The sequence below is a fragment of the Homo sapiens genome, chromosome 10 (assembly GCF_000001405.40).
Source record: "Homo sapiens chromosome 10, GRCh38.p14 Primary Assembly".
Taxonomy (NCBI): Eukaryota; Metazoa; Chordata; class Mammalia; order Primates; family Hominidae; genus Homo; species Homo sapiens.
Window position 1 is genome coordinate 45,095,243 of NC_000010.11, and position 21,064 is coordinate 45,116,306.

At 41.7% G+C, this 21,064-nt stretch overlaps 1 pseudogene across 1 annotated transcript in view; it reads right to left on the bottom strand.

Annotated features, from left to right (window-relative positions):
• Positions 1-4,233: 4,233 nt before the first annotated feature.
• RSU1P2 (Ras suppressor protein 1 pseudogene 2) overlaps positions 4,234-21,064 on the bottom strand; it is a 55,121-nt pseudogene continuing 38,290 nt past the window's right edge. Inside the window, exons 6-9 of the transcript NR_024472.1 lie at positions 20,696-20,798; positions 11,759-11,841; positions 11,374-11,488; positions 4,234-5,257 (exon numbers count right to left, since the gene is read on the bottom strand). The product of NR_024472.1 is annotated as a Ras suppressor protein 1 pseudogene 2 (transcript). The remainder of the gene's footprint in view (positions 5,258-11,373; positions 11,489-11,758; positions 11,842-20,695; positions 20,799-21,064) is intronic.

Below are 21,064 nucleotides of genomic sequence, written 5' to 3' on the forward strand. Positions count from 1 at the left end.
AACCTCACATTTGCTGTGATGATGGCCCTGAGGCAGAAATTTAAAAATAAATAAAGAGGCAAGGCAAGGGTTAAAAAGAAAAGAACAAGTTTTCCTCTGCCTAGCAAGCTCACTTGAAGGACAGTTATAACGCTGTTTGAGAAGCCAAGGCCAAAGGAATGGGCTCCAGACACCCCCGCCCCACTTCCAGAGCAAGGTTGAAGGAAAAAGAAGAGAAAGACAAATTATTTTACTGTTACTCCTTTTCCTGGCTTCTTAGGCATGAGTATGTTTTACAAATGTCTGTATTTAGCCAGTTCTTGTTTTTCTTTTGATGCAGCTACAAGGCCACCAGCTACGCAAGGTCACAAGTTATGTTATGCTATAGATTATGGGACCTATCACTGTATGATTAACTGCTTTTGTTTTGCTTCTGTAAGTCTGCTTATAAAAACCCTGCTCTGTCTTTGTTCAAGGCTCAGCTTTTTGGATGCAAATCCACTGAGCCGGTGCATGCCTAAAATAAACAATCCTCCTGTTCTCCATATCAGTCTCTCCGGTCCTCAGTTTCCCTCAACGGCCCTACGAAGGCTTATTGGTTTACTATGTGCAAGGCACAAGCTGACTACTTAATTGCAATTAGTTCTTTCAACAATGCTATGAAGTAGGGATTATTCACTCCCATTTTATTGACAAGGAAGCTGAGCCTTCAGGAGGCTACACAGTGAAATTCCTCCAATCCCCAGGAAGCTCCTTGCAGCATTTTGTCATGCCAGCTGCAGGCCTTTGCAGCACAGCTTCAACAGTTTCTGCAGTTTTTTTCTAATCATAAATGTGATTTGATACAGAGAAAGTTTCATCCCACAAGCATTATAATTGGGATTTTCATTTGAACTTACACAGCTATGGCAGCCAGTGCTAAGTGGCCCACAGAGAATTGCTGAGAATTAAATAACACGGAATGCAGTTCAGGCCAAGGAGCTTGGGAGGCTTCCTGGAAGGGGAAAGGTGTGAACAGGACCTTGGCGAGAGGAGGCAGGATGAGGATGTCTTCATACAGGAATGGGGAGGAGCCGTGGATGACAGAGACTTTGGGAATGAAGACACTAAAGAAATTGGTGGCTACTTTGATAGGATCAGGGATGAAGAAAAGGAAGTGAAAAACATTCCAGTAATTGTAGACTAGGAAATGGTGATACCATCTCCTTTTCCTGATTGGAGTCAGATGTAGGCTCTGAATCCATCCTTTAATCATTAACACCCACCTCCCACTCTCCTTTTGTCCATTACTTGCTTTACTTTTCTCCTCAGCATCATCATGCAATATATTTATTTGTTTTATTGCCTTTCCCTCAACTAGATTGTAAGGTCCCAAGGCAGGGCTATTTGTCATTTTGGTTCATTGCTGTATCCTCAGAACCTGGAGCAAAACAGGACTAAGTGTTCTCTGTGTGTATGCATATGTATGTATAGCATATATATGTATATAATATATGTGTGTATATATAGCCAGAGCAGTTAGTCCTGTTTTATATTTCATATATCTTTTTTTTTTTGAGACAAAGTTTTGCTCTTGTCACCCAGGCTGGAGTGCAGTGTCGGCTCGCTGCAATCTCTACCTCCCAAGTTCAAGCAATACTCGTGCTTCAGCCTCCCGAGTAGCTGGGATTACAGGTGCCCGCCACCACGCCTGGCTACTTTTTGTATTTTTAGTAGAGACAGGGTTTCGCCATGTTGACCAAGCTGGTCTCAAACTTCTGACCTCCAGTGATCTGCCCACCTTGGCCTCCCAAAGTACTGGGATTATAGGCATAAGCCACCATACCTGCCCTTTTTAATTCTTAAATAAGGAAATTTCACATAAATGGTAACTAATTTATTCTGCTAATTGTCAATATAGCAGAAACTGTTCAAGTACCCACACAACCACTTTGTTTTTTTACTTTCAACACAATATTCAATAAATTATATGAGATATTCAACACTTCAGTATAAAATAGGCTCTGTGTGAGATGATTTTGCCCAACTGCAGGCTACTGTAAGTTTTCTGAGCACGTTTAAGGTAGGCTAGCTAGGCTAAGCCATGCTGTTCAGTAGCTTAGGTGTATTAAACGCGTTTTGACTTACTATATTTTCAACTTAAAATGAGTTTATCGGGGCGGGGGGTTACCCCATTGTAAGCCAAGGAGCATCTGTATTTCCAAATCAACATTTGGAATAAGTGAGGGGAAATGAAAAGATTCAGGACCAGGAGAATAGAAAGGCCTGAGGAGTCTCTGTAGGTCTTGCTTGTCTGGGGCTGCCTGGGAAGAAGGGAGGCAGGTGATTGCACTCAGGGTCTGACACAGATGCCTGGGGGAAAGGACCCGGCGGAGTCAGCAGTGGAAAGCTGTGGGCTGGCACTGAAATGAGCAGCTGCTGCTATGTCACTGAGTGGATGTGGGGTGCCGGTGAAATCAGTGTATCACTGAGCCCTGATAGAATGGTGGAAAATATATATTCCCAGCAACATGATTCTGCCAGTTCCTAGAAGAATATAAATGGATATCTTTAATAAGGAGAAAGTAAGGAGGCAGCATGCCTCCTCAAATCTTCCTGCACTGAATTAAAGCTACAGAGAAAAGCTTTCAGTGCAGATAAGCTCTGCATTTAGGCACAGGCTTAGGTGATTTGTTTTTGATCTCACATGTTTTCTGATAAATATATCTGGAATTATAAATTTCCTTCTGAGTACTGCATTTGTTTTATCACATACATATTGTCATGAAGTATTTTTCCCCTTTATTTTTATTTGACATATAGTAATTGTACATATTTATGGGATACAGAATATTTCAATGTGTATACATTGTGTAATGATTACATCAGGATAATTAGCATATCTATCCCCTCAAACATTTATTCTTTCTTTTTGTTGTGAACATTCAAAATCCTCTCTTCTAGCCTTTTAAAAATATACCATATTGGCTGGGCACAGTGGCTCATGCTTGTAATTCCACCACTTTGGGAGGCTGAGGCAGGCAGATCGCCTGAGGTTAGGAGTTTGAGACCAGCCTGGCCAACGTGGTGAAACACCATCTCTACTAAAAATACAGAAATTAGCCAGGCAAGGTGGTGGGAGCCTGTAAACCCAGCTATTTGGGACGCTGAGGCAGGAGAATTGCTTGAACCCAGGAGGCTGAGGTTGTAGTGAGCTGAGATCACACCGTTGCACTCCAGCCTGGGCGACAAGAGCAAAACTCCATCTCAAAAAAAAAAAAAGAAAAGAAAAGAAAAAGAAAAAATATACTATATTACACTGCTGGTGGGAACATAAGCTAGTACAACCACTATGGAAAACAGTGTGGGGATTCCTTAACTAAAAGTAGAACTACCATTTGATCCAGCAATCCCACTACTGGGTATCTACCCAAAGGAAAAGAAGTCATAATATGAAAAAGGTAAATGCACATGCATGTTTATAGCAGCACAGTTCACAATTCCAAAAATATGGAACCAGCCCAAATGCCCATCAGTCAACAAGTGGATAAAGAAATTGTGGCATACATATACACCATGGAATACTACTCAGCCATGAAAAGGAATGAAATAATGGCATTCACAGCAACCTGAATGGAACTGGGGACTATTATTCTAAGTGAAGTAACTCAGGAATGAAAAACCAAACATTGTATGTTCTCACTCATAAGTGGGAGCTAAGCTATGAGGATGCAAAGGCAAAGAATGATATGAGGATGCATATATGAGGATGCAAAGGCAAAGAATGATATGAGGATGCATATATGAGGATGCAAAGGCAAAGAATGATACAGTGAACTTTGGGGACTCGAGGGAAAGGGTAGGGGATGTGAGATAAAAGACTACAAATTGGGTACAGTGTATACTGCTTGGGTGATGGGTGCACCAAAATCTCAGAAATCACCACTAAAGAACTTATTCATATGGCCAAACACTGCCTGTTCCCCAAAAACCTATGGAAGTTAAAAAAAAAAACCCATAAATTACATTTGACCATATTTACCCTAAAGTTCTGACATAAAGTACTTTTTATTGATGTTCAGTTTTAATATTTCAAAATTATAATTTCTTAATCAGATAAGATGTATTTAGTGGCATGTGTTTTTGTTTCAGGACATATGGACTTTTAATTTTTTATTAGCTAACATTTTTGATAATTTCTACTTTTGTTAATAATTGTTAATAATTTCTACTTCTACCTCATTGTGATAAATAAACACAGTTTATACAATGCTATTCCTTTTTCTAAAATTTATTGAGAATTACTATGTGATTTGTACCTGGTCAATTTTTACAAATATTATATGTGTGCTTGAAAAAATTATATTTTTATGATTCTACATTAATATTTTAAACTTGTTAGTCATGCTATTTAGATCTTCTATGTATGCAAACTTTTTGCAGCTTGATCTATCCCTTTCTGAGATGAACATGTTAAATCTCATTGAGCATAAATAAAGGGTACATTATCAGATACATATACGTTCATGATTATTGAAACATTTTGATCTGTTTTTTCCTTTCCTTTCCTTTCAAACCATATCAGTATCTGAAGGTCACAGAACAAGGGAGTGGGAGAGTGAGGTTTGAACCCAAGCCTAGTGATGAAGAGTGCAGCACTTAACCTCTATTCTCTACTGTTTACATTTAAAAAAGTTTTAAACCTCTGGATAAAATAATTGGGAACCAGTTGACAGAGTGACAATAACAAAAGAGAAGATAAATGAGACACTTACAGAGACTTAATTGATCAAACAAAGAATACTGGATTTCCTTCTTGCCTGCCTCAGTAAAGAAAGTTATTTTTCTTTAGTTTCTCGATGTCCGCAGGAAAAGGATTAAGAGATATAACAGAAGAAATTTTGGACGTACATCCACTCACTGTTAATTCTGTTCATTCTGGAGAATAAATTGGGAGGAAATTCTCAATTCATAATGTCCTTTACTCTCTGAAGGGGATTAATATTTGTTTCCACTCTTCACAAGCATGCTAGAAAATACTATGCTTCTCATAATTACTGTAGTAAAAAATGCTATCGATTATTGGCACATATCGTAGGGCACTAAGCTGGCTAGCCCCAGGTGTGTGCAGCATTGCAGACATATGTCCCATAGGCTGTTTGGATTGGTGCAAATAAGGTTTTGGTGTCAATAACACTTTGTTTTGTTGCATTCCGAGCAGACCAATGTGATTTTCTTCTCTTCTCCAAAGGCAAAATTATCTGGGTAACAAATGCAGGAGAAGAGGTCCCATCATTGCCTAGAAGCCAAGAAACCAGAAACAATTCCAATTCAGAACAAGCAGCAGAAACCATGGAATGCTTAGCAAAGAGAATGATGCAAAACACATAATCCAAATATTCAGCTCACATGACAGTGGTCTCATCGGCGGGTGAGAAAATGCAGAAGTGGGACAGAGAACTGCTTGCAAACCCCAGGTGATGCCGCCAGCTCCCAAATTACCTTTTTGTTTTTTCTCCGGGGCTGCTGACCTATTCTGAGGATTGGTCAAGGCATATATTGAGTTTCCTTTCTCCACTACCAATGAAGGTCTTTATCCTCTCTACTAATTAATTCTTCCAGGAAATAATATATAAAGGAACAAAAAAAGGGTGAAATTTCAGTTAGCCACATGGCTGGCTGATTTTTAGGAGACTGGAAGCTGGCTGAAAATACTGGCCAAAAAGAGACTTCTGCATTCAGGCAGGCTCCAGATGATATTTCAATTATATGCATTCCATTGTCCTGCCCTGGCAGCGTTAACTGCAGATGTCAGGAAAAAGAGAATAGCCCCTATCTGCCTCCTAAAAGAACCCCTTTTTCCTACGAAGCAAAAACACACCACACAGCCCCAGCAATGGGGAGCCATTTGTGGTGCCAACCGAGGGGGCCACAGTCCCTGACTGGCCACAGATGTCTGCCTGCGAGTCAGCCCAACCCATAAACATCCTCAATCCTTCTGGCTTCAGTGTTTAGGAACCACAGTGCTTTATGGCTCAATCTTTCATTCTCTGCAGTCACACCCATAGGATCTCATCCAATTTGTAGCCTTAAATGTATGCTGATAATGCCCCAAATTATATATGCAGCCTAGATGTCTCTTCTGGGCTCCAGATTCTTATACCCCATTGCCTTCTCAATGAGATACCCCAAAGGCATCTCAAACTTAACATATTGAAACTCAGTTCAGTACGACCTCCTCTCCTCAATCCCTCTCCTAATCTACTCTTCCTACTCCTAATCTACTCTTCCTATAACCTTTCTACTCTTCCTATAACCTTTCCTAGCCTTCCAGTTGCTTAGACTAAAACCTCACAGTTAACCTTAACTTTCTCACCCCTCATCTAAACTGTTACCAATTCCTGTTAGATCTGCCTTTGAAGCAGATCCGGTATCCGACCATTACTTGTATCACTGCCATTACCATTTGGATGAAGCCAGTATCTACTCCCACCAGGATTGCTACAATAGTCTCCTGTCTCTCAGACTCTCTGCTTCCACCCTTTCCCTCTGCCCTCCAGCCTATTTTCAACACAGCAGCCAAAGAACTCCTCCAAAAAATAGTCAAGGGCTGCACACCATGGCTCATGCCTGTAATCCCAGTACTTTGGGAGGCTGAGGCAGGAGGATCACTCAAGCCCAGGAGTTTGAGACCAGCCTGGGCAACATAGCAAGACCCCATCTCCACACACAAAAAATGAGAAAATCAGTGGGGCATAGTGGCACATGCCTGTAGTCCCAGCTACTTGGGAGGCTGAGGTGGGAGGATCACTTGAGCCTGGCAGATGGAAGCTGTAGTGAGCTATGATTGCACTGCTGCACTCTAACCTGTGTGATCACATAAGACTCTGTGTCTAAATAAGAAAGTCAGATCATGCTATGCCTTTGCTCAAAACCCTTCAATGTCTTCCCATTTGTATCAGTTTCCTTTTGCTGCTCTAACCAATGACCACAAGTGGTGGCTTAAAACAACAGAAATCTAGTCTCTTAATGTTCTACAGTGCACAAGTCCAAAAATTGGATTTTATGGAACTAAAATTGAGGTGCCAATAGGGCTGCATTCCTTCTGGAAGTTTCAGGGTTGGGAGCAGAAATCTGGCTGCATGCCCTTCCAGTTTCTGGAGGCTGCCTGCCTCAGCTCGTGGCCCCTTTCACGAGTGACTCAAGCCTCTTGCTCCTGTCACCACGTCTTCTACTCCTACCTCTGACCCTCCTTCCTCCCTCTTATGAGGACCCCTGTGATTACATTGGGCTCACCTGGGCAATCCAGGATACTCTCCCCATCTCAAGATTCCAAAGCCCATAAGCAAAGTCTGTTTCCCTACATAAGGTAACAAATTCTCATATACTGGTGATTAGGATGGGAGCATCTATGGGGGTGTCCATTTCACACAGAGTAAAAGCCCAAGTCCTGACAATGTCCTACTAGTTCCCAGGTGAACCAGACCCCACTTCCTGTATAAGCTCATTGGTTACAACTCTCTCCCCTTCACTCACTGTGTTCCAGCTACACTGGCCTTGCTCTTCCTCAACACAAGCCCACCCAGGACCTTTGCACTTACTGTTCTCTCCATCAGGAGACCTCTCTTCTTCCTTTAAGTCTCTGCATAAAGGGCACCACCGTATGAGTGAGGGTTTCTCTGATTACCCCTTCCCCAGCCGGACACTCCCTTCCATGCTCAATTTTTTCCCAGAACTCTTAATATCACGTGTCTGTCATTCATATTCTCTCTTCCTTTTTTCTGTCCTCTCCCACTAGAACATCATCAATAACGGGTGTTCTGTCTCTTGTCATAACCCTTAGCAAATACCAGGGGCTCAACAAACAGTTGTTGAATAAGTGAATCTTAGTTTACTGGAAAAGAAAGTTCCTTGGACTCAAAGGTCTGCCCTAAAGTAGGAACTTAACCTGAATAAATAAATGAATGAACGGCTACACAAGAGACTCAACTTACATCTCATTTTTGATAGGTATAAAGACTAATATGAAAGCAAGTGCTTTACTACTTAGAAATCAGACATAACGGTTTAAGTAGCTTATTCAAGGACATACAATAAAGGGAAAGTAACACAATCACATATTAAAACTCCAGCTAAGCCCCTGACTTTATTTTGCTGTGTCCCTGCATGTTCTCAGACCTGACAAATCAGAACTCATCTAGATTCTCTTGCTTGGCTGAAATACTAGTACCAAAAAGGTTACAAGTTAATAAACTCTGGATTTATTATGAAAGGAAATTTCACAGAAATCTCAAAAGCATTTATCTTGTATATTCAGATACATAAAAAATATACAGGGAGAGATCATCATCCATGCTTTAAAACACCCCCAGAAGCAAACCTGTAGCATAAGCTTCATGTGCATCATCAGTGCCCGGCACTGCCCATCAGCCAGCCCAGAGCAGCATCCAGATGGTCACCTCAGGTGTTGGGGACACAAACAAACAAAAGACGTTCCCATTGGGGGTCATGTTTGTTGAGGGGAAAGAGACATGGGGACAATGCAACTGACTTGGAATGGGACAGCAATTTGTCTTCCAGAGGCCATCTCAGTTGCATTTTGCAAAGTGTTATGCTAGCCTTCCTCACACACCGGCAAAGCCCATGCCAACTCACCATCCAGCAACGTCTCTCTGCCTGCTTTTTTTAGGGGGGTGTGCTGGGGTTGTGTTTTGTTCAAACTTTAAAACTGCAATTCTAGGAATCCTTTTACCAGCATATGGGTGGGAAAGAGGACCTCACCATGATCAGGAAGCTGGACCCAGAGGAGGGACTGCCAGGTTCGGATCTCACCTCTGTGACTCACTAGCTGTGTGTCCCCCACAGACATGTCACCAACCAACCCTGTCTACACCTCAATGTCCTCACCTCTAAAAAGTCTGCTTGTAATTCTTATGGTAGTTGTAGGCGATATTGCAGGAAAAACACTTATCTTACTGCCTTGCAATTCCAGGCCTTAATACATACTACCTATTATTATAATAGCTGTTACTATATTAGTATTATATTAATGTTGACTTTTTAAAAAAATCACCATTCAAAAATAAATAGTACATTTGTCTTCATCTTGAGTTTAGCTTGTAACAGTGACTTCTAAAGGTTTATCATTTACTTACAACTAAGTGTTTGCCTATAATCAGGAAAAACTGCTATCAGGCAAATGTTAAGATTAAGCTTTTCTACATATGGCTGTCAAAAATAAAGTCATTTAAAGCCTGCCCCCTCAATTCTACACCTGAATAAAAATATACATGATTTGTTAATGGAAAGCTTAACAGAAATGTTGAACAAAGATGACCTCATATAGTATTTAAATAAGATAAGCAAAATGAGTAAGATTTTAAAATATATACATAGGCAAGTGTAGGTTCAACTAGACATTTTGGTGGCAAATTATTGTCTGATAAAATAATTGTTTAATATCCTACGTTGCCTCATTGCTTGAAAAATGAAATAAGATCAAATGACGTCAAAATATACATTTATTTTTCTGTTTCTACTAACCATGCTAACCAAGGACACATGTCAGAGGCATTAAATGAGCTTTACACCAAGTTACACAAGAATTCACCTCACACCTGGAGATCCTGATTTAGTAGGCTGGGGAGGAAGCAAGTATTGGAGTTCTGTAGAAGCTCCGCAGCTATTACTAATGATAACATCTGTGGTTATTAACCACTGTGCAAGATCTCTCTCTCTCTTTTTTTTTTCCCCCTTTCGACAGGGTCTTGTTCTGTCACCCAGGCTGGAGTGCAGTGGCACAATCACGGCTCACTGCAGCTTTGACCTCCCAGGCTTAGGTGATCCTCTCACCTCAGCCTCCTGAGTAGCTGGGACTACAGGCATGCACCACAATGCTCAGCTAATTTTTTGTACTTTTTGTAGAGATGGGGTTTCACCACGTTGCCCAGGCACTGGTCTCAAACTCCTGGGCTCAAGCGATCACCCTCTTCGGCCTCCCAAAGTGCTGGGATTACAAGTGTGAGCCATGGTGTCCAGCCCAAGATCTCTCCTTTGACAAGAAGTTTTTTGCCTTGAAATTGTTTGCAAAAAGCGTTTCTTGATTTTGTAACCCTGCTCCCAAAACAAAACTTGACTGCTTGCAACTCAGTAAAGAGAAATGTTGAGTTGCTCCTCAGCCCTTAAAAATCATTAAATAATCATCTGGTCTTTTAACACTAACAAGAGAGTTAAGGGAAATGGGAAGGGAGGAGGTGGGATTTTCCATCTGTTCCAGGAAATCACGTGACTGCCTTCTCTTTAGCCTAATAAGGCTGCCAGCAGAACTCTGGGTGCTGATGGGTGTGCTCTGTGTCTCAGTCTTCCTATGCGTAACCATTAGCCCCATCGGCCTCCTCATAACCTTCCTAACCTCTTGCCATCCAAGGTCCTTGCTTCTTTCATTCATTCAGTCAATGTTTTCTGAGCAAGTACTGCACCCCAGGGAACAAATGCGAAAACGCCCCTGCCCTCCTGGTGCTTGCATTTTAATTTCTAACAAATGGCCTCTTGAAACGGCCAGACTTGTTTAAAGAACTGCTTCCTCTATGTGTTTCTTAAAAATGATGGTATTTTGGGGCAGAAAAGCAAATAACCGCAGTTTGAGAAAACAATGTGGTTCAAAGGATTAAAGAAATTAGAGGCTATTGAGGGTCTGCACAGGAAAAGATAAGGGAACTTGGGAACCTTTTGCAGTGGAATGAAGCAGTAACAGAATGACTGGCTTGGAGATTATTTCCGGCAGGGGACATAAACCCACTCTGCAAATAGGAACGACCTGGCAGAGAATTAGGATTCAGTGGCCAGAAGTAGGACCTATTCCCAGCAAGAACATATTTAACAATTCCTACTAGAAATGGGATCAGGAGAGAGGCAAATTCACGACCAGCAGAGGTATCAACAACTTCAAGTAGCCGTAACAACTACTTTAATTCTTTGGTAAAAGTTTTTCTAGGTCAATAAAAAAGTAAGGGGTTAAAAAGTAAGAGTGATACTTCGATAAAGTTATCAATAACAACCAAGACCCAGAAAGCTTACCCAGCTAGTCAACGAGGACCCATGCATAAGGCTGTTACTACTAACCCCATGCTTTTTCCACTACATTATGCAGGGAGCTGAGCAGGGTCATCTTTCATCAGCAGTTTCTAAGACACGGGACACTACAGCTGCAGAACACAGCATCGGGGAAGGTCAAACCTATAACAGCTGAACTCTGGTCAATGACAAATGTTTCTCAACATTTGTCATTGTTGAGACATTGGGTGTCTAGGTGGAGAGTAGTTGCCAAGAAGAGGAGGGAGGTTGTTCAGAATTGCTACATTGGGATAATTGTTATTCATGAAACCCAGAACTAAGTTCATTCATCAGCAACTTTACCTAGTTCTGGGCGTAGAACAGTGAGGCGGTTCCTCTGAATGTGGAGCTCTTTAAGCTGGGTAAGCTCCCCAATTTCCTTAAGCAGTGAGATCAGGTCTTTATCCCTATTGCTGAGCTAAACAGAAGAAAACAAGGAGTTGTCAACACATTTTCACATTAAAAGGTGCTCCACAGAAACTCTCATCCTCCTCCACGTCCTCTCTTCTACCACAGCTCAGTCCTTTCCATTTATTTACAAGTGCTGGCGGATAATCAAGAAACACTATCAGAAGTAGTGGTTTATTCCTGCAAAACAAACCTTACTTCTGCTCAGATTTACTTGATTCTACCCCTACAAGGCTGCAGCAGTGAATTGATTTTCTAAGAATTTAGATAACTTACTTACTATCTGCAACTTTGTGAGCTTCCCAATATCTGGTGGCAGGATTTCAAAACCGTTGTCACTTAGATAGAGTGCACACAGGGTGGCTGCAAATTAAACAGCAATATATAAACAGGGTGGCATGGAACCCAACCATTTGAGGTCTGATCAATACGAGGGAGTCAGCTTTGATTAATAACCCTGGCTTGGTGAAAAGCCTTTGACATACCTAGGGCTCCCAATAATAACAAGCAGGTCAAACTTACATTTACTGGCTTATTGTGTAGCTGGTGTGTCCAGGAAAACATCTATATCCAAGAGGACTGATACAATTAACAACGTGGGCACTAGCATTTTGGGGCACAGAGTTTCAACACATTTTCAAAAAAGATTGCTATTTTTCTCACAGATTACTTTTGATTCACATTTATTTCTCCATTTTCATCCAAAGTAAAACAAAGAAAACTACTGTGCCACTTTTATGGATACCTAGGGCAAAAAGTTTCTTTCGAGGGAATACAACTATGTTAAAATAGACCTTTTCCTATGTAAATAGCACTGTGTTAAAAATTAATGAAAGGCTTTCTGGTGATGGAGGCTATAACCACAGCTCATCAGTTCCATAATCTGACTAATTATTACTACTTGTTTCTACAGCCTTAAGGCCAAAAGTAAATGAAGAAAAAGGGGCTAAAATAATGGCATGAAGTTAACAGAGTAAATCCTAACTTCAGCGGAATATCAGCAGTCAGAAATCCTAACTTAAGCAGTAATATCAGTAGTCAGAAATTAAGCAGAATATCAGTAGTCAGAAATTTGTTCACAATTACTACACAATGATAATATGATTACAAACTACTGAAGGCTAAAATTCTAAAGCATCTGTTTATCCTCAACCAAAAAAGCTGAGTATAATTAGAGGTATGTTTTGTTTATCAGTATTTATTTATTTTTTAGAGACAGAGTCTCGTTCTGTCACCCAGACTGGAGTGCAGTGGGTCACTGCAGCCTCAAATTCCTGGCCTCAAGCAATCTTCCTACCTCAGCCTCCCGATTAGCTAAGATTACAGGCACATGCTACTATGCCTGGTTAATTTTTTAATTTTTGTTTCTAGAGACAGGGTCTCTCTATGTTGCCCAGGCTGGTCTTAAACTCCTAGCCTCAAGTGATCTTTGGAGCTCAGACTCCAGAACTGTATGTTAATGTAACATAATAAAAACAGGTGTTCCACTGCCCAAGAAAATATTTTACAGTTGGTTTCATGTGCTTGAGAAAGTCATAGAGATAATGTATATAAGGTAAAAAGTGAAATTTTAGAGACCAGCTCAGAAAATTCAGATTTTCTGAATGCCACATAAATTACTAATTGAAGAAATAGAACACTCATTTAAGAGAAGCAAACTTTGTCTGAAATAGTGCATGAGTTCCCAGAGGAAACCATTTTTTAATTTTCAGAAGCATCTTCAGCAAGAAATTTGTTGGCATATAAAAGAATAAAGTGTGTTCACCTATGGCCAATAATTTCTTAATGCCTGTGTACTGGATAAATAGGTCAATAAGAGTACTTTTTAAAAGGCTGGAAATAAGAATCCTGGCTAGAAAATTTAAGAATTCTGTTAGTGATTTATTAATAAATATTTTTATAAATAACTGATTCGGACTTCCTGGGCAAATATCCTGCAAAGAATTAATACCAACATGGGAGGATACTTTTTTTTGGCATGCTATTTAAAAAGAAAGTCAAGTCTCTTAGCTAAATGTGAGGCTTGATCTCATTTAGGTATATAATCTCTCTCAGAATGTTAATATGATGTTACTAAGTCCACTTCAGCCCAACGGTGTCACATAACGATATATCAAATGCACATACTGCTGAGCTACTAAGGAATATTCAAAAGGAGTCTCTAAAGAAAAAATTATCTCTGTCCAATAATTTCTCTTGGAGTTTAGGTCCTGGCAAATAAATTTCACTCTGAGAAGGCAAAGTATAGTGTTGAGGAGATTTATAGAACTGAAAGTTTCTTACTCAGGTAGAAGTTTCCAGGGGGCCGGGCGCGGTGGCTCACGCCTGTAATCCCAACACTTTGGGAGGCCGAGGTGGGCGGATCATGAGGTCAGGAGTTCGAGACCAGTCTGGCTAACAAGGTGAAACCCCGTCTCTACTAAAGATACAAAAATTAGCCAGGCATGGTGGTGCACGCCTGTAGTCCCAGCTACTCGGGAGGCTGAGGTAGGAGGAGGCAGAGGCTGCAGTGAGCCGAGATCACGCCATTGCACTCCAGCCTGGGGGACAAGAGTGAAACTCCATCTTAAAAAAAAAAAAAAAAAAGAAGAAGTTTCCAGGAAGAGAATTTCCGTTCAAGTTGTAAGTCAAGTCCAGAACCTCAAGAGCTGGCAGAGAGCAGAAGCCTCGTGGCAAAGTGTTCAGCCTGTTCATGCTGTTGCAGGGGGACAAAAATCTACATCAGGACACCAAAGACACATTTATACAGACTATCAAGAGCACCTCTGTTTCACAGGCTGAAAGTGTAAGAGAGTGCCATGATCCTAGAGTCACTTTATTTTTATTTTTTATTTTTTTGAGATGGGGCCTTGCTCTGTTGCCCAGGCTGGAGTGCAGTGGCACGATCTTGGCTCACTGCAGCCTCGACCTCCATGGGCTCAAGCAATCCTCCCACTTCAGCCTCCCAAGTAGCTGGGACCACAGGTGCACACCATCACACCCCACTAATGTTTGCATTTTTTGCAGAGATGGGTTTTTGCCAGGTTGCCCAAGCTGGTCTCAAACTCCTGAGCTCGAGCCATCCTCCTACCTCAGCCTCCCAGAATGCTGGGAGTATAGGTGTGAGCCGCCATGCCCATCCTATTTTTTTTAATTAAAAAAAGTATTTATTTAATATTTACATTGACAAATGAAGATTGTACATACCTATGATGTACAACATGATATTTCTGATATATGTATCATCCATCGTGGAATGCCTTAAATCACACTATTTATATATGCATTGCCTCATATCATATGCTTGTCATTTTTTTGTCTTTTGTGGTGAGAACGCTTAAAATTCACTCTCTTAGCAATTTTCAAATATACTACATATTGTTATTGACTGCAGTCACCATGATGTACAATCCATCTCTTGAACTTACTTCTCCCGTCTAACTAAAATTTCGTGTCCTTTGGCTAACATCTCCACAATTCCCCTCTCCCTCCAGCCTCTGGTGACCATTTTATTCCCTGTTTCAATGAGGTTTACTTTTTTACATTCCACATATAAGTGGGATGATGTGGTATGTTGTCCTATTTAAACTAATAATTTTAGAGAGCTTATATATTCCTGAAACATTTGGAAATTTCTTAGTTGTCATTTTTCTCCAGTGGTGAAATTTAATCATTCTTTTACACAAAAACTCAAACCATCACAAAATATCTGTCCTTGTAAAGAAAAACTTCCTGATGAATGTAGTAATAATATCTGAAACTACACACATGAAGCTTTGTAGTTTTCAGATTTTTGCTTTATTTCATTTCATTTTTTCCTTTTAGGAGGGAAAATCATGTTTTTTTTTTTCTACAACTGTTAAAATTCAAAGTTATCTTCAATTAGAATGGTGATGGCCAGGGGCTGGAGGGAGGGGCAATGGAGAGATGTATTTTAGTGGGTGTAGGATTCAGGTTTGCAAGATGAGAAAGTTCTGGAGATTGACTGAACAACAATGTGAATACGCTTAACACCATTGAACTGTATACTACAAAGACAGTAATTTTTTTTTTTTTTTGAGACAGAGTCTCGCTCTGTCGTCCAGGCTGGAGTGCAGTGGTGAGATCTCAGCTTGCTGCAACCTCCACCTCCCCGGTTCAAGCAATTCTCCTGCCTCAGCCTCCTGAATAGCTGGGACTACAGGCATGTGCCACCATGCCCGGCTAATTTTTGCATTTTTAGTAGAGAAAGGTTTCACCATGTTGGCCAGGATGGTCTTGATCTCTTGACCTCGTGATCCTCCTGCCTCAGCCTCCCAAAGTGCTGGGATTACAGGCGTGAGCCACTGCTTGGCCAGACAGTACATTTTATGTGCACTTTATCACAACTTAAAAATTTTTTAAATCGTACAATTGACTCTTGAGCAACATGGGTTTGAACTGCCTGGGTCCAATGACACATGGATATTTTTCTTCTGCCTCTGCTACCCCTGAGACAAGAAGACCAACCCTCCTCTTCCTCCTCAGCCCACTCAACATGAAGAAGAGGATGAAGACCTTTAAGATGATCTACTTCCACCTGAAGAACAGTAAATGCACTTTGTTTTCCTTATGACTTTCCTGATAACATTTTCTGTTCCTTAGCTGACTTTATTGTAAGAATGCAGAATAGAATACATATAACACACAAAATATGTGTTAATCGACATTTATGTTTTGGTAAGGCTTCCGGTCAACTGTAGGCTATTTGTAATTAAGTTTATTCAGAGTCAAAAGTTATGTGTGGATTTTCGACTCCATGGGGGGTCAGTGTGGTGCTCCCTCAACCCATGTGTTGCTGAAGGGTCAATTGTGTTTGGGTGGGTGCGGGGGTGTGTGGTGTGTGTGGGTGTGTATCTGGTGTTGTGTGTAGTGTTATGTGTGTGTGTACGGGGGTGTTATGTGTGGTGTGTGGGGGGTGTGCTGTGTGTGTGGTGTGTGGAGGGGGTGTGGTGTGTGTGTGATGTGTGTGGGTGGGCATGGGGTGTGTGTGTTGTGGTGTGTGTGGAGGGTGTGGTGTGGTGGTGTGTGTTGTATGTGTGGTGTGTGTGGGGGTATGGATGTGGTATGGTGTGGTATGTGTATGGGGTGTGTGTGGGGGTGTGGGGGTGTGTGTGTTTACGCAGTATGTGTGTGTGGTGTGTGTGTGGGTGTGTGTGCGTGTTTGTGTCTGTGTGTGTGTCTCCGATGAAGTCTAAGGGAATTTTTTTCTTTTCTTTTTTTTTATTATACTTTAAGTTCTGAGGTACATGTGCACAACGTGCAGGTTTGTTACATAGGTATACATGCACCATGTTGGTTTGCTGCACCCATCAACTCGTCATTTACATTAGGTAGTTCTCCTAATGCTATCCCTCCCCCAGCCCCCCACCCCCTGACAGGCCCCGGTGTGTGATGTTAAGGGAATTTTTTTTCTACACTATCTTTTATCCTTTTCTTTAAGCCCCTTATTTTTCTTAATGCCGTTCCCTTTGAGCACACTTAAAAGCCAATTAAAAATTAAACTTTAATAAAAGTTGACAGATATTGAAAGGTGGAAGGGACTGTGACAATAAAAATCATTCTAGTCATCGATGCTTCTCATAACAGATCCAGCTCGGTCCAGTCCTACCAAGTGGGCCTCACCAGAAACAGCAGACAGCAGGGGGAAACCAAAATGGAAACGTGGGTTCCCCCTCTCAGGCAGAAAACGACCCAGACAGACTACACCCAGCAAAACTACCTCCACGACTATCTACTGCAATGACAGCAACAACGAACATTCTCCATGAAGTCACAAATTTGTGAAGCACATTATGGCAAGTACTTGGCTTGTTGTATTACCTTGTAATACAGGCAAGATGGAGCTTGTAATTAATGCTATCTTGAGATGAAAAAAAAGCCTAAGAGAGAGTAAGGAGCAAAGATTTCAGAAGTGACTGATGAAGGTGACATGTGTCTGGAAGCACCCTGTACCTCATGGAGGTCCTCCCTATAACTTGCCTTACTGTGTGAGTATAATTCTTTATGCCATTTGAGGACAGAGGTATCCTTTAGTGAAACCCATCTTAGCTCCTTTCCCAAAGAACTGGGAGGTTTTTTCAAACTTTGACAACTCCGTCTATGTAGCTGTGTAGTTAAATACAAAAAGCTTTACACAATCAATAAAGCACCAATAGCCCCAAATGCAAACAACTCCAAAGAGAACAAGAAGGCAACTAAGATGCATTCATTGAAAAAGAAAAGTTTAGGGCTGGGTGCAGTGGCTCACGCCTGTAATCCCAGCACTTTGGGAGGCCAAGGCGTGTGGATCACCTGAGGTCAGGAGTTCGAGATCGGCATGACCAACATGGTAAAACGGCATCTCTACTAAAAATACAAAAGTAGCTGGGTGTGGTGGTATGCACCTGTAATCCCAGCTACTCGGGAGGCTGAGGCAGGAGAATCGATTGAACCTAGGAGGTGGAGATTGCAGTGAGCTGAGATCGTGCCATTGCACTGGAGCCTGGGCAACAAGAGCAAAACTCTGTCTAAAAAAAAAAAAAAGGAAAAGAAAAAGAAAAGTTTATGGCTCTGTCCTATGGTGCCTCAAACCAAACAGAAAAAAACCTGAGCTTATTATTTTCTTCCCAAACCTGTCTCCATCTGTTCTATTTTTCAGCTGTCCGACACAGAAACGTAGGTATCATTCCATCCCATCAGTTACTGTCTGTCAATGTTACCACCTGTATATTTTTCATATAAAATCCCTCCCTGTCTCCACTGTCACTGTCCTAGTTCACATGGGACATGAAGCTCATGTTCTTACTGGTCTCCTAACCTCTAGTTTCCATCCCTCCACCCTCTTCTCCACACTGATCTTTCATAGGAAAATCTGACCATATCTCATATCCACCACTTGGCTATGCAAATTTCTCAATGGTCAGCATGATAAAATTGGAGCTCGTTTATTTATTTACTTATGTATTTTTGAGATGCAGTATCACTCTGTCACATAGGCTGGAGTGCAGTGGTATGATCTCAGCTCACTGAAACCTCTGCCTCCTGGGTTCAAATGTCTCTCCTGCCTGAGCCTCCTGGGTAGAATACCTGGGATCATAGGTGCACACCACCACACTTAGCTAATTTTTGTATTTTTAGTAGAGACAAGGTTTCGCCATCTTGACAAGGCTGTTCTTGAACTCCTGGCCTCAGCTGACCCTCCAGCCTCAGCCTCCCAAAGTGCTGAGGCTACAGGCGTGAGCCACCACGCCTGGGAGGAGCTTGTTTATTTAGCACAGAGGACTTTCATTAGCACTTTTGATTCCCTGCCATTATTATAAACATTTATTTGTTTATAGTTGGTTTCCTCAACTGTAATGGAAGCTCCATCAGGGCTGGATGGCCAGTAGCTAGAATAATGCCTGGTACACGATTGGGAACTTGGTAAATCCTCATTCACTGAACAGCAGATATCCAGGATTCCCTGTCTAGCCTGACCTCTGACCTTACAGCCACCTGCCTCACACTTTATACTCAACAGTGCCAAAAAACCGACAATTCCTAGGCCCCAGGCAGGCAGTGCTGTGAGTGTTTAAATATGTCATTCGCGGCTGGGCGTGGTGGCTCATGCCTATAACCCCAGCACTTTGGGAGGCCGAGGAGTGTGGATCATGAGGTCAAGAGATTGATTGAGACCATCCTGGCCAACATGGTAAAACCCCGTCTATACTAAAAATACAAAAGTTAGCTGGGTGTGGTGGTGTGCACCTGTAGTCCCAGCTACTTGGGAGGCTGAGACAGGAAAATCGCTTAACCCTGAGAGGCAGAGGTTGCAGTGAGCTGCGATCGTATCACTGCACTCCGGCCTGGCGACAAAGCAAGACTCCGTCTCAAAAATAAAAATAAAAATAAAAAAATTGGCAAATATCTGTCCAGCATCTATTGCCACTCCACGTCAATCACTAATTTAACCAGAGCATTTAGTGGCTACAATTTAATGAGTATACGACTTTGCACAGAGACTGAAGCATGAGTGGGCAGTTTCATCTAATAGCTGTGCCAATGAAGATGGAATTCTGATGCTGCAGTTCCGCTTGGGGTCTATGGATGTATTCGTCTGTTCTCCCATTGCTATAAAGGAATGCCTGAGGCTAGGTAACTTACAAGAAAAGAGGTTTAACTGACTCATGGTTCTACCGGCTGTATAAGAAGCATGGCAGCTACTGCTTGTGGGGAGGCCTCAGGGAGCTTTTACTCGTGGTGGAAGGCAATGCAGGAGCATGTGTATTACATGGCAGGAGAAGGAGAGCACGAGGGGTCTTGCAATAACTCACTCACTATCATAAGGACAGTACCAAGAGGGGATGGTGCTAAACCATTCATGAGAGCTCCGCCCGCAGATCTAATCACCTCCCACCAGGCCCCACCTCCAACAATGGGGATTACAATTCCACATGAGATTTGGTGGGGACACAGATCCAGACCATATCAATGGAGTCTGATGGAGCCTTTAGACCCAGAACCATGGGGTTCTCTTCCCAGCTTGGCCACTAACCTCAGGGGTGACCAGGACCCAGTCCCTTAGCCCCTTTGAAAAGGCTTGGCTTCCTCTGTATAAAATGAAAGCACTAAAACCTGCTTTCCCTACCTCACAAATGTTAAGAGGATCAAGTGCTGCAAAGCAATACACGAAGACAGGTTATCATTATTATTATTTACCGCTCCCCGGTTCTGCAACCTCAGTTGAACCAAAACTCCTCTCTTCACCTTTGCATAAAGAAAGACAGAGGATTGTCACCTCTCAACTACAGAGAAGAATTGCAAAAATGAATGAAGCAGCATTAGGGAATATATTCTTCCCTCCATGGCATGAAGGTGCTTTATAAACTATTCCTATTTAACACAGACAGAAAAAAAATCAACCATACTACAACTTGTCTGTCAGTTCACGTTATGCAAATAAGTCCCTTCTTGGTCAACAGAACTGAGATAAAATTTTACTGGACACAAAATACAGTAAAAATTTAACTTCCTTATTGTGCCAACTATTAGCTTCTCAATTAGCTCTCAAATCTTCACTAATGTAGGCCACCAAAAGGACATATTAAAACAATAAAACTTTTTTTAAAACCCAAAACACAAAAAGAAATCAGAAATCCACTTCTGTGTAATGATATAAATGGAATCCCTCCCCTGGCCCTACCCAGCACGCCCCTTCCACTCTCTTTCTCTCCATCCTTTCCTCTCCACTGATACTCACCCAAGGTTCAGGTGTTTGAGTTTTTGAAGCCTGCTGATCTGTGTTGGCAGCTCCTCGATCTGGTTATTTAAAAATTTGAGCACTTCCAAATTCTTCAGTTCTGCTGTGTTTGGTGGCACCACCATGGAAACATAAATGCTGAGTGTGAATCTGGGAACGGAACTCCTAGCAAGGGATGGCAGCAGCACACTTTGTTTTTCTTCAAAGCTAAGAAACATATAACTCCAAAAGGACCATCGAATTCACCTATCGGTCTTACTTATTTTTTATGGGTTTTTCATAAGCAGTCACTCACTTCTGAGTGGCCGCTGAAATGCTCCTTCGTATATCATTAGCTAAGTGTTTGGCATAGTTTGTTTCAGACAGACA